At 47.5% G+C, this 16,705-nt stretch overlaps 1 protein-coding gene across 20 annotated transcripts in view, besides 6 other annotated features; it reads right to left on the reverse strand.

Moving 5' to 3' along the window:
- The window catches only part of ZMYND8 (zinc finger MYND-type containing 8), a 147,486-nt gene that overhangs the window by 118,326 nt on the left and 12,455 nt on the right, over nt 1–16,705 (reverse strand). The window lies entirely within an intron of this gene.
- Nucleotides 1,470–2,117: an enhancer, noted in NCBI's record as "H3K27ac hESC enhancer chr20:45957753-45958400 (GRCh37/hg19 assembly coordinates)". NCBI's record gives its function as "activates a minimal SCP1, AML or CMV promoter by ChIP-STARR-seq in naive H9 embryonic stem cells {active_cell/tissue: H9 hESC(naive)}" and the evidence as "EXISTENCE:reporter gene assay evidence [ECO:0000049][PMID:30033119]".
- Nucleotides 3,705–4,205: an enhancer, noted in NCBI's record as "H3K27ac hESC enhancer chr20:45959988-45960488 (GRCh37/hg19 assembly coordinates)". NCBI's record gives its function as "activates a minimal SCP1, AML or CMV promoter by ChIP-STARR-seq in naive H9 embryonic stem cells {active_cell/tissue: H9 hESC(naive)}" and the evidence as "EXISTENCE:reporter gene assay evidence [ECO:0000049][PMID:30033119]".
- Nucleotides 8,163–9,002: an enhancer, noted in NCBI's record as "H3K27ac-H3K4me1 hESC enhancer chr20:45964446-45965285 (GRCh37/hg19 assembly coordinates)". NCBI's record gives its function as "activates a minimal SCP1, AML or CMV promoter by ChIP-STARR-seq in primed H9 embryonic stem cells {active_cell/tissue: H9 hESC(primed)}" and the evidence as "EXISTENCE:reporter gene assay evidence [ECO:0000049][PMID:30033119]".
- Nucleotides 9,003–9,841: an enhancer, noted in NCBI's record as "H3K27ac-H3K4me1 hESC enhancer chr20:45965286-45966124 (GRCh37/hg19 assembly coordinates)". NCBI's record gives its function as "activates a minimal SCP1, AML or CMV promoter by ChIP-STARR-seq in primed H9 embryonic stem cells {active_cell/tissue: H9 hESC(primed)}" and the evidence as "EXISTENCE:reporter gene assay evidence [ECO:0000049][PMID:30033119]".
- Nucleotides 11,846–12,345: an enhancer, noted in NCBI's record as "H3K4me1 hESC enhancer chr20:45968129-45968628 (GRCh37/hg19 assembly coordinates)". NCBI's record gives its function as "activates a minimal SCP1, AML or CMV promoter by ChIP-STARR-seq in naive H9 embryonic stem cells {active_cell/tissue: H9 hESC(naive)}" and the evidence as "EXISTENCE:reporter gene assay evidence [ECO:0000049][PMID:30033119]".
- Nucleotides 14,756–15,537: an enhancer, noted in NCBI's record as "H3K27ac-H3K4me1 hESC enhancer chr20:45971039-45971820 (GRCh37/hg19 assembly coordinates)". NCBI's record gives its function as "activates a minimal SCP1, AML or CMV promoter by ChIP-STARR-seq in naive H9 embryonic stem cells {active_cell/tissue: H9 hESC(naive)}" and the evidence as "EXISTENCE:reporter gene assay evidence [ECO:0000049][PMID:30033119]".

The raw sequence follows: 16,705 nt of genomic DNA on the forward strand, positions 1-16,705 counted from the left end.
CAGCTACTTGGGAGGCTGAGGCAGGAGAATTGCTTGAACCCAGGAGGCAAAGATTGCACTGAGCAGAGTTTGTGCCACTGCACTTCAGCCTGCGCGGCAGAGTAAGACTCAAAAAGGAAAGAAAAGAAAATCACAAGATCCCTCCACATAGGGCCCCCTATTCCCACATGGAACAATCCTCCCGCCTGCCCACTTTGGGTAGAACTCCAGAATCCCTGTTTGCCGAGGTCTCCATTATTCTTAACTTTCAGATAATTAAATCTATAACTTATTGTTTTTTTGTTTGTTTTTCCAGAAACAGGTCTTGCTCCGTCGCCCAGCCTGGAGTGCAGTGGTGCAATCACAGCTCACTGCAGCCTTGACCTCCTGGGCTCAAGTGATCCTCCGGCCTCAGCCTCCCACGTAGCTGAGGCTACAGGTGCATGCCACCAAGCTCAGCAATTTTTTTTTATTTCAGAGATGAGGTCTCACTATGTTGCCCAGGCTGGTCTTGAACTCCCGGGCTCCAGTAAGTCTCCTGCCTTGGCCTCCCAAAATGCTGGGACTACAGGCATGAGCTACCATGACTACCCTAGATCATTAAATCTAAACTTGAAAGGCCCTTAAAGGGTGTAACAGGACAGGGGAAGCAGAGAAGGATAATAAGGTAAAGAGAGGGATCAGAGACAAGGGATGTTTTGCTAGGATGGCCAGGTCCTAGAAAGTTCAACCCCATTATAGGTATTGCATAAGTTTTTTGACATTTTTATAAGCATGGAGAGGGTGGTATAGACAAAAACATACCAAACTGTTATCACTGGTTACCTGGCAGGAGAAGATTTTTAGCTTTTTCTTTGTATACTTTGGCTTGTTGTCAAGGAGATACACTGATTTTTATCATTTGAAAGGAAAATCCAATAAACCTTAACCCCTCTGCCACCCCACAAAAAGTTAATTCTTTTTTTTTTCGAGACAGAGTCTGTTGTCCAAGCTGGAGTGCAGTGGCATGATCTCAGCTCACTACAACCTCTGCCTCCCAGGTTCAAGCGATTCTCCTGCCTCAGCCTCCCGAGTAGCTGGGATTACAGGCGCGTGCCACCACACCCAGCTAATTTTTGTATTTTTAGTAGAGACAGGGTTTCACCATCTTGGCCAGGCTGGTCTTGAACTCCTGACCTCAGGTAATGCACTGGCCTCCCAAAGTGCTGGGATTCCAGGCATGAGCCACCGTGCCTGGCCAAGTTAGTTTCCAGTTCTTGGAAGAGATCCTTCATTCACAAAACATTTAATGGGCAACTACCATGAAATGCCAGTCCCTTGTTAGTCTAAAGAGGTGAGAGTTATTTGGTCTATCAGTCTAGAAGAGACACACAGGTAAATGCATAATTACGGTAAAGCATGTTGAAGGCTGGAGGGAGGACCGCCCAGCTCCCTGGCATATCCTGTGGAACTTTACCCCAGTCAGGCCTAGGTGCCAAGGGGCCTGGCAAAAAGGGAATTCAGCAGGGCCTGAACAAAACACACCAACTTGCAAAGATAGAAAGAGGACTGTGTTCTCTGCACAACTTTTCAAAGAATAGGCAAGCTCAGGAGGCAATGACCAAGCAAAACTTAAAACTCAATAATCATGCATGGAACATGTTCAGTGCTGTGTCCCCTGGCGACATAGCTTCACCTACAGCATTCAGCACAGCATGCACAACAAATCCATTAATCTACTAAGGCTACGGAACAGTGTGATCCAATCAAGCTTGCTCGAATGATGGCAATGTTCTCGATCTGTTCTCTATCAGTGCTGTCTAATAACAGCAGCCTCTAATCACCTGTGGCTGTCAGACACTTGACACGTGGCCAGGGCAGCTGAGGAATGAATTTTATTTTGTAAATCTAATTTTTTTTTTTGGAGATGGAGTTTTGCTCTTATTGCCCAGGCTGGAGTGCAATGGCGTGATCTCAGCTCACCGCAACCTCCTCCTCCCGAGTTCAAGCGATTCTCCAGCCTCATCCTCCTGAGTAGCTGGGATTACAGGCATGCACCACCATGCCTGGCTAATTCTGTATTTTTAGTAGAGGCGGGGTTTCTCCATGTTGGTCAGGCTGGTCTCAAACTCCCAACCTCAGGTGATCCACCCACCTTGCCCTCCCAAAGTGCTGGGATTACAGGCGTGAGCCACCACGCCTGGCTTGTTAATGTAAATTTAAAGAGCCACGTACAGCTAGTGGCGACTGTGTTGGACAGCACAGCTGCAGAAGCTTAATATTAAGACAAAGAAGCATGCCTGGCAAGCAAGCAGGACACTGCACAATCATCCACCCATCCCAATTTGCCTCTAGGGACTGAGTAGTTGAATTCAAGGCACCGGATGCAGGGAAATGTGAATATGGATTCACCTTTCACTCCTTTAGTCTAGCCTGGCAATTGTTAACTCTTTAGTATGCATACGAATTTCTGATCAAAGCTGAATACTTTCGTGGGCAATTTAAGGTACTTTGAAGAGTGATTTTTGACTTTGGAACCTAAAAGAACTTCTCTGTGGGAGACTGTAAATAAAGGGTTCAGGCCAAGAGAGGGCTTGGGTCTCCATGGACACAGTGAGGATGGTCCTCACGAAGGTCAGTCTGGAAGGCAATGCCAAGTGTGTCTCAGCAAGGTGCACATCACAGGACTCTCACAAGGCCGTGCAGTCTGTCCAGGAAAGACAGATGCTGCAGGACCCCTGCAGTGCAGTGGCAAGATCATAGCTCACTGCAGGCTCCACCTTCTGGGCTCAAGATATCCTCCCACCTCAGCCTCCCAAGTAGCTGGGTCTGCAGAGACAAGCCACCATGCCTGGGTTTTTTGCTTTTTTTTTTTTTTTTTTTTGTAGGAACGGGTGGGTCTTGCCACTTTGCCCAGGCTGGTCTTGAACTCCTGGGCTTAAGCTATCCTCCTGCCTCAGCCTCCCAAAATGCTGGGATTACAGGCGTGAGACACCATGCCCTTAAGGCTGTGTTCTTAAGGAGCCACTGCAAATTTAAAGGAGAGTGGGACAATCTGACTTGTGTTTTAGAAGGCGCCCATTAGAAGTTATACTAATATGTCAGAAAGCAAAGAAACCAGGGGGAAAGGGCCATTTCAAAGAGTACTATGTCCCTAGAGGGAAAAGGAAGACAGGCCACCAGTCGCTTTGCAGAGAACAGACACTTGAGCTGGGTAATAATCTCCAGGCACTGGATTAATGCTGAAAACAAAGCCATCCTCTCTCGCCGAAAGGCTGCTTTTACTTCAGTCTCTAGGATAGAAGTTCTACCCATCTGATAGAGCTAAATCATTTGTTCATTCAAAAAAATATTTATTATACGCTCACCAGCAGCAGGCAAGGTGGTAGTAAAACAGGATGAGCAAAAACAAAAGGCAGAACTCATCCTCATTTTGAGCCTTAAAATTGATGGGGAGTAAGGAGAGGAAGGCAAGGAGGGGACCTTCAAGGTATGGGCAAAGGCCCTGAGGCTTTGATGGATCTGCACAGTCAGTGTGGCTGGAGAAGAGAGAAGTGGAACACGGAGAGAAGTGGAACACAGAGAGAACGGAACACGGAGAGAATGGAACACAGAGAGAACAGAGACTAGCAAGATGGGCAGAGGCCAGCACAGGAGGGTTTTGCAATTATGAATCTAAAAGCCAAGGAGGAAACACTTAAGAGTTTAAAGTAGGAAGGGATAGCCAGGAAGATGTTCCTTTCAAAAGACTGGGAGGGTGCGGCAGATAGAGATAGTGAGAACAACTACGAGGCCACTGTAGTTCAATGGTGATAGGCTGGTTGAAGTGGAGTGACATTTAGGATACGATATTGTAAGAAAATGACACAAAAGGGCAAAGAACAGAAGAATGGGGAATGAGTCCATATCTCTGGGGGTGAAGATGTAAAATCTCTCATGGACATCTTGAGTTTGAGACGCCCATGAACAGGCAGGGAGGTCAGGTAGGCAGCTGACCCTCTGCACCATGACTCAGAAGCAATCTAGGTTGGAAACATAAATGTCTGAGTCATAAAGCTCCAGATGTGGGTAAGATCACCCAGAGAAGGAACGTGCTAGGCGAGACAAGGACAGGGCCAAGCTTTCAGCAACTCCAGCATTTAATGGCCAGAGAGAGGAGGAGAAGGTGCCAGGGAAACAGAAGGAAAATCAGCACTGCGGTGGCAAAGAAGGCAAAGGAAGAGAGAGTGTCCACAAGAATAATCAGCATCTCCAGTACTGCAGAGACAGCGCAGCAGATGAGGATGGAAAACCTCCCCTGGAAAAGGCAACACAGAGTCTCCAGGAAGCTCAGTGGGGATGTGAATGTGGAAGGTCAGGGTGGAAGCCACATTGGAGCTTGCAGGACAAAGACAGGAATACAGACGCTTCTAAGAAGTTTGGCTTGCTGGACGCGGTGGCTCACGCCTGTAATCCCAGCACTTTGGAAGGCTGAGGCAGGCAGATCATGAGGTCAGGAGTTCAAGACCAGCCTGACCAACATGGTGAAACCCCGTCTCTACTAAAAATACAAAAAGTGTAAAAAATACACTTTGGAAGGCTGAGGCAGGCGGATCACGAGGTCAGGAGTTCAAGACCAGCCTGACCAACATGGTGAAACCCCGTCTCTACTAAAAATACAAAAATTAGCCGAGCATGGTGACGTGCGCCTATAATCCCAGCTACTCAGGAGGCTGAGACATGAGAATCATTTGAACCCGGGAGGCAGAGGTTGTAGTGAGCCAAAATTGTGCCACTGCACTCCAGCCTGGGCAATATAGTGAGACTCAATCTCAAAAAAAAAATAAGTTTGGCTTTGAAGAAGAGGACAGAAATACAGCAGTTGCTAGTAGGAAAGATGTGGGGGTCAAGACAGCAGAGAGGGGAGACAAGTGCCTTTAAAAGTCTGTGACTCCAAGCATGGTGGATCACACCTATAATCCCAGTACGTTGGCAGGCCAAGGCAGGAGGATCACTTGAGCCCATGAGTTGGAGACCAGCCTGGGCAACATAGCAAGACTCTGTCGCTACAAAAAATTAAAGAATTAGTCAGGCATGGTGGCATGTACAGGTAGTCCCAGCTACTCAAGAGGCTGAGATGGGAGGATTGCTTGAGCCCAGAAGTTCATGGCTGCAGTGAGCGAGGATCATGCCACTGCACTCCCGTCTGGGGAACAGAGCAAGCCCCTATCTCAAAAAAATAAATAAAGACAACACAAAAAATTTAAATGTGTATATTCTTCAAAAGGTTAATAGTTACCCTATGACCCCACAATTTCACTCCTAAATCTATACCCAAGAGAAATGATGTGTCGTGTCTGCACAAAAACTCAGACATGAACACTCACCGCAGCATTATCCCTACTAGCCAGAAAGTGGACACAACTCAAACGTCCATCAACACATACATAGATAAACAAAGTGTAGCATATCCATCCAATGCAGCATTATTCAGTCATAAAAGGAAATGAACTACAGACCCTCCTCAACTCACGATGGAGTTACAGATGATAAACCCATAAAATGTAAGTACCAGAAGTCAAAAATGAGGTCACACACAGTGGCTCATGCCTGTAATCCCAACACTTCAGGAGACTAAGGCCAGAGGATCACTTGAGCCCAAGAGTTCCAGACCAGCCTAGGCAACACAGTGAGACCCCTGGGTCTACAAAACATATATATATGAGAGAGAGAGAGATAAAAAAACACAAATGCATTTAAGCCAGACATAGTGGTACACTCCTGTAGTCCCAGCTACACCAGAGGATCCCTTGAGGACACCATTGCACTCCAGCCTGGGCAACATCGTGAGACCCCATCAGAAAGTAAGGCAGGCAGCACTTTGAGAGACTGAGGGAGGCAGATCACTTGAGGTCAGGAGTTCAAGACCAGCCTGGCCAACAGGTGAAACCCCGTCTCTACTAAAAATACATGGCAGGGCACAGTGGCTCTCATCTGTAATCCCAACACTTTGGGAGGCCGAGGCAGGTGGATCACATCAAGAGATTGAGACCATCCTGGCCAACATGGTGAAACCTCGTCTCTACTAAACATACAAAAATTAGCTGGGCGTGGTGGCACATGCCTGTAGTCCCAGCTCCTCGGGAGACTAAGGCAGGAGAATCGCTTGAACCTGGGAGGCAAAGGTTGCAGTGACACGAGATAGTGCCACTGCACTCTAGCCTGGTGACAGAGCGAGACTCCGTCTCAAAAAAAAAAAAAAAAAAAAAAAAAAAAAAAACATTAGCTGGGCGTGATGGTGCTCACCTCTAGTCCCAGCTACTCAGGAGGCTGAGGCAGGAGAATCGCTTGAACCAGGAAGCAGAGGGGTGCAGTGAGCTGAGATAGTGCCACTGCACTCCAGCCTGGGTGACAAAGTGAGACTCCATCTCAAAAAAAAAAGAAAAAAAAGGAAATTAAGAAAGGGAAGGAGGGAGGAATGAATAAATGAATAAATAAATAAATAAGCATCGAATATACATAACCTAGGGAACATCATAGCTTAGCCTAGCCTACCTTAAATGTGCTCAGAACACTTAGAGTTAGGCAAAATCATCTAATGCGAAGCCTATTGTATAATAGTGTTGACTCTCTCATGTAATTTATGGAATACCATAATGAAAGTGAAAACAGAATGGTCGTATAGATTGTTTGTTTACCCTCGTGATCATGTGGCTGACTGGGAGGTGCCTGGCACCCCAAGAGAGTCTCATACTGATGCTAGCCAGAGAAAAGATCAAAAATCCAAAATGCCAAGTACTGTTTGTACTGAACTGTCACTTCCGCACCACTATAAGTCAGGAACTGTCTGTACTGATGATCTATGCTACAAGAATGTGGATGAGCCTTGAAAACATTATTCTAAGTGAACGAACTCAGACCAAAAGGTCACATACTGTATGATTCCATTTATATGAAATGTCTAGCATAAGCAAATCCACAGGCACAGAAAGTAGACTGGTACTTGCCAGGCACAGGGGTAACGGGGGAATGGGAAGTGACTGCTAATGAGTATGAAGTTTCTTATTGGGGGTGATGAAAATCTACAACTGATTGTGCTGTTGGCTGCACAACTCTGTGAAAAAAAAAAATATATATATATATATATATATTTTAGGCAGTCTTGCTCTGTCACCCGGGCTGGAGTACAGTGGCACGATCTTGGCTCACTGCAACCTCCACGTCCCACGTTCAAGCAATTCTCCCGCCTCAGCCTGCTGAGTAGCTGGGATTACAGGCACACGCCACCACACTCAGCTAATTTTTTGTATTTTTAGTGGAGACAGGGTTTCACCATGTTGGCCAGGCTGGTCGGAACTCCTGACCTCAGGTGATCCACCCGCCTCGGCCTCCCAAAGTGCTGGGATTACAGGCGTCAGCCACCACACCCGGTCTCCGTGAAAATATATTAAAAACCATCAAACTATTCACTTTAAATGGAGAACTGGGCCCAGGAGTGGTGGCTCACACCAGCAATCCCAGCACTTTGGGAGGCCAAGACAGGAGGATCGCTTGAGCCCAGGAGTTCAAGACCAGCCTGGGCAACATAGTGAAACCTCATCTCTACAAAAAAATATAAACATTAGCCAGGGGTGGTAGTGCACACCTGTAGTCCCAGCTACTCGGGAGGCTGCAGTGGGAGGACTGCTTGAGCCAGGAAATCAAAGCTGCAGTGAGCCGAGATCGTCCCACTGCACTCCAGCTTGGGCGACAGAGAGAGACCCTGTCTCAAACAAACAAACAAAAAAAAAGGAGAATTGTATGGTATGTGAATTATATGTCAATAAAGGTATTTTTTTTTTAAGTCTATAAAGCGCTGGATCTCTAGGTTCCCAGGAAAGCCCAGGATAGGTGAGGGGAGTCACAGGAAGTTGAAGGGGGCTTATTATCATTCCACTCACCCTCACCCCCCCACAGCCATGACACCTGGTCTTTCCAAACTGATCACCTCAAGTCATCGGTAAAGGATCCACTATCAATAGAGAACAATGAAGGAATGACGACTTTAATAAGGCAATAAAAAGTACCCAGATCTCTAAAAGGCCTCAGCCCTGATATGCTTATTCTACAGGCATTTAGAGAGGAAAAAGAAGAGATGGTTCTTTTTAAACTAAGCTTGAAACGGTCGATTTTAGATCACAGTCTTCTAGAATAATAATAGTCACACAAACATATAACGTGGGTCATGCTTCAAAAATGGGGCAAACACAAGGTTTGCATGAGTGAACCACAAAGCTAAATTGCACAGACACTGCCGACAGGATTCCATGAACAGATGCACAGTAGAGACGATGCTGGCCAAGAGAAGGTAGAAGATTTCTCATTTGCAAAACCATAATCAGACATCTTCAGAGTTCTGGGATATTTTAGACCTTGTTAGGAGAGGAACAATCTGGTAGTCATCTAACTCACAAATAAATTCTTTCCACTGCACAGTACACGGATGGCACTTCTTGGGCTGTCAGAGATAGAGAGGAGCCAAAATACGGTTAAAAATACTGATGCTCATTTTTTGAAAGAAAAATTCTCAGCACTTCTGCATCGCGCTGTGATTTAAAAGTGTTTGTGGTTATATTTTCTGAAAGAGTTTCCTTGAAAAATGACAGAAGGTCTCTATCTCACAGCCGTCCTCATAAACAATCCCTTTGTGAAAGTCTTAATTTACATACAACAGTGAGAACAAGGATCCTGTGCTAATTAAGGTCTGGGGCTGGTTAGCAAATTGCTATAATTGTACATTCTCTAGCATCCTGTCTCTGAAAACACATCCATACCCCCAGCAAATCTCAGCAAGAATGATACTGTTCAAGATTTTAATATCCTGGGCTTCCGCTGCATCTGTGCGTGTTTCCAAGTCGTTCATTCCCTTGTGCCGGTGACATTACACAGACATTTTTAAAAATGGTTTCAGCTTTGGCAGGCTGGCATCCACACACCACAAGCACTACCACAAAACGCACACATGGCAGGATCAAGACGCAAGCAGCCCAAACAGGGGAGCCTTTGTATGGAGACGTGAATTCAACCCGCGGAGTACATCATTTCTCAGGCTGCAAATCCCTGGCCTTCAAGGCGCTTGTTCTGACTCACGCATGGTGAGGCCAAATTCTGCAATGAATTGTGCCTTGGCCAGTCTCGCACAGGGAATGCAAAATGACAGCCCTCGGCTTCTTCTGACCCGGAAATGCGTTTTGTTGGGTTCACGCATGATCTTTAGAGAAGCCAGTCTACACAGACCACATTTCTAAATGAGGCAGTTTTACAGGGGAAAAGAAAATCCCAGCTGGCCACAGCGGATGAGCCATATTCCTGCTGGTCAGCAATCAGATGGAGGCACCCTCCCCACTTTGGCACACTCTCCCATTCACCAAAGCTCCCCTTCCCCCTGCATCCCCAGATGCCAGCCACAATCACTGATCTACCTGCTGGGCCCTTCAGGCATTTGACTTGCAACCCTTGGAATACAGGTCATGGTTAAGTACAAAGGTTTAAAATCTAGGGACATTAAACACTCTTATCAAAAAAAAAAAAAAAGGTTTAAAAATCAAAGGGCCAGCCAGGCACGGTGGCTCACGCCTGTAATCCCAGCACTTTGGGAGGCCAAGGCGGGTGGATCACCTGAGGTCAGGAATTCGAGACCAGCCTGGCCAACACAGTGAAACCCTGTCTCTACTAAAAATACAAAAATTAGCCGGGCGTGGTGGCAGGCGCCTGTAACCCCAGCTACACCGGAGGCTGAGACACGAGAATCAATTGAATCCAGGAGGCGGAGGCTGCAGTAAGCCGAGATAGGCACTCCAGCCTGGGTGATGGAGGGAGACTCTGTCTCAAAAAAATAAATAAATAAAATAAAATAAAATAAATCAAAGGGCCGGGAGTGGTGGCTCACGCCTGTAAACCTAGCACTTTGGAAAGCCGAGGTAGGTGGATCCCTTGAGCCCACGAGTTCAAGAGCAGCCTGGGCAACACGGCAATAACCCTCTATATAATTAATAAATAAATAAAGATAAAACCTGACCCTAGTTCCATCCCTACTTTGACACTTCCTTAATTCATCTGAGCCTCAGTTTCCTTAACTGTAAAATGGGAATGACACACCCACATCATGGAATTAGTATGAAAATTAAATGAAGTAATTTGCATATCATGCCATGAAGTACTCAGAAAATATTAGCCACGCAAACACACCTGGCATCGAGATGGCACTTCCCATTGATGTAGGAGCATCTTTCAGCAGGATCATTACCCTCGGACACAAATGTCAACCTGACATCTTGAAAGCTCGAAAGCTTTGTCTCCTGAGAGCTAAAACGCTCTACTAAATGCCAAGGCTGGCATAATGGCAATGACTGGCTTGGGAATTACTCAGTTAATAAGTGAGTATGTGTCAAGGGGAGAGGGGCGTAAAAATTGAAATTCAGTTAGAGAAACTGAAAGGTCACATGGACTAGATGTAGGAATAGGACTGAGGAATTCTGCACCAATTATTGTCAGAGTTTCTAAGTTTCCCAAGAAGAGGACGGCTCAGCACCTGTTTTCTAAGTGCAAGTAGAGAAAAACACGTTGCCAGGTTCATAAGATGGTAGAGTGGTCACCTTATCTCCTTTTGAGGACCCATCTCTTTCCCAGTGGGGACAGCGTTGGTGGGTCCAGGTGTCCAGGATATTAGCCCTTCCCTGGCCAGAGACGTGCACATGGACTTTGCGCTATTGTCCCTGAGGAGGCTCCGGGCTGGCTCTACTCCCGAGAGTGGCCTGGACCTCCAGCCTTCCCACCAATGCAGTGGGAGCAGCTTCACACCAACAGACCACCTGCAGTCCATCCCTTTCCTGCTCAGAACCGAAGGACCCTGACCCGGGTCATGTCACAGGGGAACAGAGTCCCTAAACTTCCCAAGAAAAGCAGGCTGGAGGAAAAAAAAAAACATGTTCACTGAGCCTGGAGATCATCCCACTGCGGACGCTGAGATCACTGGGACTGAACAAGAGATAAGGCTTCATCCCGGTCAGCTTCACAGACATCATATTTTCACCATGCAGACTTCAGCTCTGGGAACCTCAGCAACCCCAATCTTAACCCCAGGACTTTGAATATTAAGCCAAGTGGCTCCGGCAGAAAGGTGCTCTGGAAACAGAAGCTACCACCACCGCCACTCACTATGGGGCACGAGAGCTCAGTTTCACATAACGACAACCACCCCAGAGAATCCTTGGGGAAAGTTCTCCCTCAAAACAAGGTGATCCCTTCCCCTCAATGATTCCCTACCAAAGCAAGAATTCCCAAGCACCCGAGAAAATCCTTCCAAACACCTGCAGAATGGCTTCTTCAAATGTCACAGAGGCCAACAGGACAGGAAGCTTGCAGGGCAGTGCAAAGCACTGGACTCCTAGATGGAGAGAAGCAAATTCCTATCTGGTCCCGAGCCTGCCTGCTGGGCAACCCTACACAATTATTTCTTTTTTTTTTTTTTTTTGTGAGACAGAGTCTCGCTCTGTCACCCAGGCTGGAGTGCAGTGGCGTGATCTTGGCTCACTGCAAGCTCTGCCTCCCAGGTTCATGCCATTTTCCTGCCTCAACCTCCCAAGTAGCTAGGACTACAGGCGCCCACCTCCACGCCCGGCTAATTTTTTGTATTTTTAGTAGAGACGGGGTTTCACTGTGTTGGCCAAAATGGTCTCGATCTCCTGACCTTGTGATCCGCCCGCCTCGGCCTCCCAAAGTGCTGGGATTACAGGCATGAGCCACAGTGCCCGGCCCACAATTCTTCACTGTGCCCCCTCTAAGCAGGGGGTCTTCCGGGCATGGTTTCCTCATCTGCCTCCAGACCTTCTTCCTAGAGGCTGCAAGTGGGGGAAATGGCAGAACAGTCATTCTCACCACCTGACAGACCTAGCAATAAAAATTCACTGTCTCTAAGTTGATGCAAATCATAGCTAACATTTTTGAGCAGCCACCCTGTCCCAAGAACCATTCTTTTTTGAGACGGAGTCTCACTCTGTCGCCCAGGCTGGAGTGCAGTGGCGCAATCTCTGCTCACTGCAAGCTCCGCCTCCCGGGTTCACGCCATTCTCCTGCCTCAGCCTCCTGAGTAGCTGGGACTACAGGCACCCGCGACCACGCCTGGCTAATTTTTTGTATTTTTAGTAGAGACGGGGTTTCACCATGTTAGCCAGGATGGTCTCGATCTCCTTACCTCATGATCCGCCCACCTCGGCTTCCCAAAATGCTGGGATCACAGGCGTGAGTGAGGCACCACACCCGGCCCCAAGAACCATTCTGAGCATTCTATCTGTGTGAGCAAAGTTCATCTTAGCCATAACCTTCTATCTTTATCATCCCCATTTACAAAAGGAAACCTAGCCACAAGGAATAACTCAGCTAGAAAGGGGGCAAGACAGAACCAGGAAATCTGGCTCTAGAAGCCAGGTGGTTTTTGTTTTTTTTTGAGACGGAGTCTCACTCTGTCACCCAGGCTGGAGTGCAGGGGCACGATCTCAGCTCCCTGCAACCTCTGCCTCCTGGTTTCCAGCGATTCCCCTGCCTCAGCCTCCTGAGTAGCTGAGATTACAGGTGCCTGCCACCACACCCAGCTAATTTTCTATTTTTAGTGGACACTGGGTTTCACCATATTGGCCAGGCTGGTCTCAAACTCCTGACCTCATGATCCGCCTCTCAAAGTGCTTGGCCTCCCAAAGTGCTGGGATTACAGGCATAAGCCACCCAGCCAGAAGCCAGGTGTTTTAAATCTCAATGACACCTTGCCTCTCAAATCATTGGGGTAAGTAAGAATGGTGGTCCAGGGGTGCTTAAAGAGGGAACTTGAAACCATGGTGCGCACTTACAGTCCCAGCTACTCGGGAGGCTGAAGCAAGAGAATCACCTGAGCCCAGGAGTTAGAGGCTATAGTGTACTATGATGGCAACTGTGAATAACCACTGCACTACACTGCAGCCTGCGCAACACAGTGAGATTCCATGTCTTAAAAAAAAAAAAAGGCCGGAGGCGTGGTGGCTCACGCCTACAATCCCACCACTTTGGGAGGCTGAGGCGAGCAGATCACTTGAGATCAGGAGTTCGAGACCAGCCTGGCCAACATGGTGAAAACCCATCTCTACTAAAAATTAAAAAATTAGCTGGGTGTGGCGGCGTATGCCCCAGCTACTCAGGAGGCTGAGGCAGGAGAATCACTTGAACCCGGGAAATGAAGGTTGCAGCGAGCCAAGGTCAAGCCACTGCACTCCAGCCTGGGCAACAGAGCAAGACTCTGTCTCAAAAAGTATTTTTTTTAATGTAAAAAAAAAAAAAATACAGCAGCCAGCATTCTAGCAGAGTAACAAATAAGAAAATACAAAGTGAGGACAAAGGCTATAAACAAAATCAGAGGGATAGAGGACGCTCTGGATGCTGGAAATGTTTAATTATCTTGATCTGGGTCAGGGCCCCATGAGTGCGAACGTGTGTTAAAGTTCATCAGACTGAACACTGTAGATCAGGTTAAAATGTACCAGAAAATAGTAAACAAACGGTGGACAGTAGAAGCCAGCCTTCTCACTGTTGGAGGAGGAGGTTACAGAGAAACCAGGGAATAAGGCTAGAATGATCCATGTGGTAATGCGAAAAGGTCAAACGAGAGAATGAACTCATGTTTAGCTGATATAGACACAGATGGATACATGTAAAAATGTTTACACAGTATGTCTATATATCCTTCCTTGTCTACTGAGAAAATCTAGAAGCAAGGTGGCTCACACCTATAATCCCAGCACTTTGGAAGGCCGAGGTGGGCAGATCACTTGAGGTCAGGAGTTCGAGACTAGCCTGGCTAACATGGCAAAACCCCATCTCTACTAAAAATTTAAAAATTAGCCAGGCATGGTGGTGCATACCTATAGTCCCAGCTACTTAGAAGGCTGGGGCAGAAGAATTGCTTGAACCTGGGAGGCAGGGGTTGCAGTTAGCTGAGAGTGCACCACTGCATTCCAGCCTAGGTGACAGAGCGAGACTCCATCTCAAAAAAAAAAAAAAAAAAAGAATCTAGAACAAAGACATTCCAGTAGCAATGAGCACACACTTGGCCAGGTGCGGTGGTTCATGCCTACAATCCCAGCACTTTGGGAGGCCGAGGTGGGAGGATCACAAGGTCAGAAGTTCCAGACCAGCCTGGCCAACATAGTGAAACCCCATCTCTACTAAAAATACAAAACTTGGCCGGGCGCGGTGGCTCGTGCCTGTAATCCCAGCACTTTGGGAGGCTGAGGCGGGTGGATCACGAGGTCAGGAGATCGAGACCATCCTGCCTAACATGGGGAAACCCTGTCTCTACTAAAAATACAAAAAATTAGCCGGGCGTGGTGGCGGGCGCCTGTAATCCCAGCTACTTGGGAGGCTGAGGCAGGAGAATGGCGTGAACCCGGGAGGCGGAGCTTGCAGTGAGCGGAGATCGCGCCACTGCACTCCAGCCTGGGTGACAGGGCGTGACTCCGTCTCAAAAAAAAAAAATACAAAACTTAGCCAGGCGTGGTGGTGTGTGCCTGTAGTCCCAGCTGCTCAGGAGGCTGAGGCAGGAGAATCATTTGAAACCAGGAGGCAGAGGTTGCAATGAGCCGAGATTGTGCCACTGCACTCCAGCCTGGGCAACAGAGGGAAACTCCATCTCAAAAACGAACAAACAAACAAACAAAAACGAGCACACTTAGTGCCCACATCTTGGTTTCTAATACTATTCTCCAATAAAAGAAACCAGGATCCTCTGGGTGCGGTGGCTCACACCTGTAATCCCAGCACTTTGGGAGGCCGAGGCGGGCGGATTACCTGAGGTCAAGAGTTCGAGACTAGCCTGGCCAACATGGTGAAACCCTGCCTCTACTAAAAATACAAAAAAATTAGCCAGGCGTGGTGGTGCGCTCCTGCAATCCCAGTTACTCGGGAGGCTGAGGCAGGGGAATTGCTTGAACCAGGGAAGTGGAGGTTGCAGTGAGCCAAGATCGCGCCAACTGCACTCCAGCCTGGGAGACAGAGCGAGATTCTGTCTCAAAGAAAAAAAAAAAAAGCTGGGCACGGAGGCTCATGCCTGTAATCCCAGCACTTTGGGAGGCTGAGGCAGGCGGATTGCCTGAGGTCAGGAGTTCGAGACTAGCCTGGCCAACATGGTGAAACCCCGCCTCTACTACAAATACAAAAAAATTAGCCGGGCATGGTGACATGTGCCTGTAATCCCAGCTACTATGGAGGCTGGAGCAGAGGAATTGCTTGAACTAGGAGGTGGAAGTCACAGTAAGCTGAGATCACACCACCGCACTCCAGCCTCGGCAACAGAGCAAGACTACATCTCAAAAAAAAAAAAAAAAGAAAAGAAAGAAAGAAACCAGGATCCATAGAGAAATGGATGATTTTAGGGCTGAGGCAAAGACATACAAAATGAGCCTGGAACATCTTATAGTGCCAGAAGACAAGAAAGTGCTCAATAAATAAATAAATAGGCCAGCCGGGCATGGTGGTTCACACCTGTAACCCCAGCACTTTGGGAGGCCAAAGTGGTAGGATCACTTGAGCCTGGGAAATTCAAAACCAGCCTGGGCAACACAGCGAGACTCCATCTCTACAAATAAAAAGAACAAAAATTAGCCAACTGTGGTGATGCATGCCTGTGGTCCCAGCTACTTGGGAGGCTGAGGCAAGAGGACTGCTTGAGTCCAGCAGGTCAAGGCTGCAATGAGCTGTGATTATACCACTGCACTCCAGCCTGGGCAGCAGAACGAGGCTGTCTCAAACGAACAAATAAATAAACCCCACAACGATGGAGTCTGTCAAGGGGACACAAGAGCCAACACAAAGAGCTCCCAACTGCCAAAGCTGGAATGATTTGAGCAATAAAATAAATAAGTAGTATTGGATTACAACCCACAGTATAAAGTAACCATCCCAGAGTCCACACTGCTAGAGATAAATGACTGAATAAATACATGAGGGAGAAAAGACTAATACCCCATACAGAAGAATTCTAAATTTTTTTTTTTGAGACACAGTGTCACTGTCACCCAGGCTGGAGTGCAGTGGTGGAATCTTGGCTCACTGCAACCTCCGCCTCTCGGGTTCAAGTGATTTTTCTGCTTCAGTCTCCCAAGTAGCTGGGATTATAGGCATACAATGTTTGTTATTTTTAGTAGAGATGGGATTTTGCCACGTTGGCCAGGCTGGTCTCGAACTCCTGGCCTCAAGTGATCTGCCCGCCTTGGCCTCCCAAAGTGCTGGGATTACAGGCATGAGCCACCACATCCAGCCCCCAAATAATTTATGTCAAGCCTCTGCTTTCGAGGAGGTGGAGCATAGCTCTTCACTCCTTAAGTGTGGGTGATGCCTTGTGACTTCCTTCCAAAGAGCAGAGGATGGAAAGAGAAGAAAGACAGCCAGATGGTCATGGTCAACATCAACAGTGATAAATCTTTTTTTTTTTTTTTTTTTTTCTTTTTGAGATAGTCTCATTCTATCTCCCAGACTGGAGTGCAGTGGCATGGTCTCAGCTAACTACAACCTCCGTCTCCACCCCCTCCACCCCGGGTTCAAGTGATTCTCCTGCCTCAGCCTCCCGAGTAGTTGCGACTAGAGGTGCCTGCCACCACACCCAGCTAATTTTTGTATTTTTAATAGAGGCAGGGTTTCACCATGTTGGCCAGGATGGTCTCGAACTCTTGACCTCAGATGATCCCCCCACCTTGGCCTCCCAAAGTGC

This window comes from Homo sapiens, chromosome 20, assembly GCF_000001405.40.
Source record: "Homo sapiens chromosome 20, GRCh38.p14 Primary Assembly".
Classification (NCBI taxonomy): domain Eukaryota; kingdom Metazoa; phylum Chordata; class Mammalia; order Primates; family Hominidae; genus Homo; species Homo sapiens.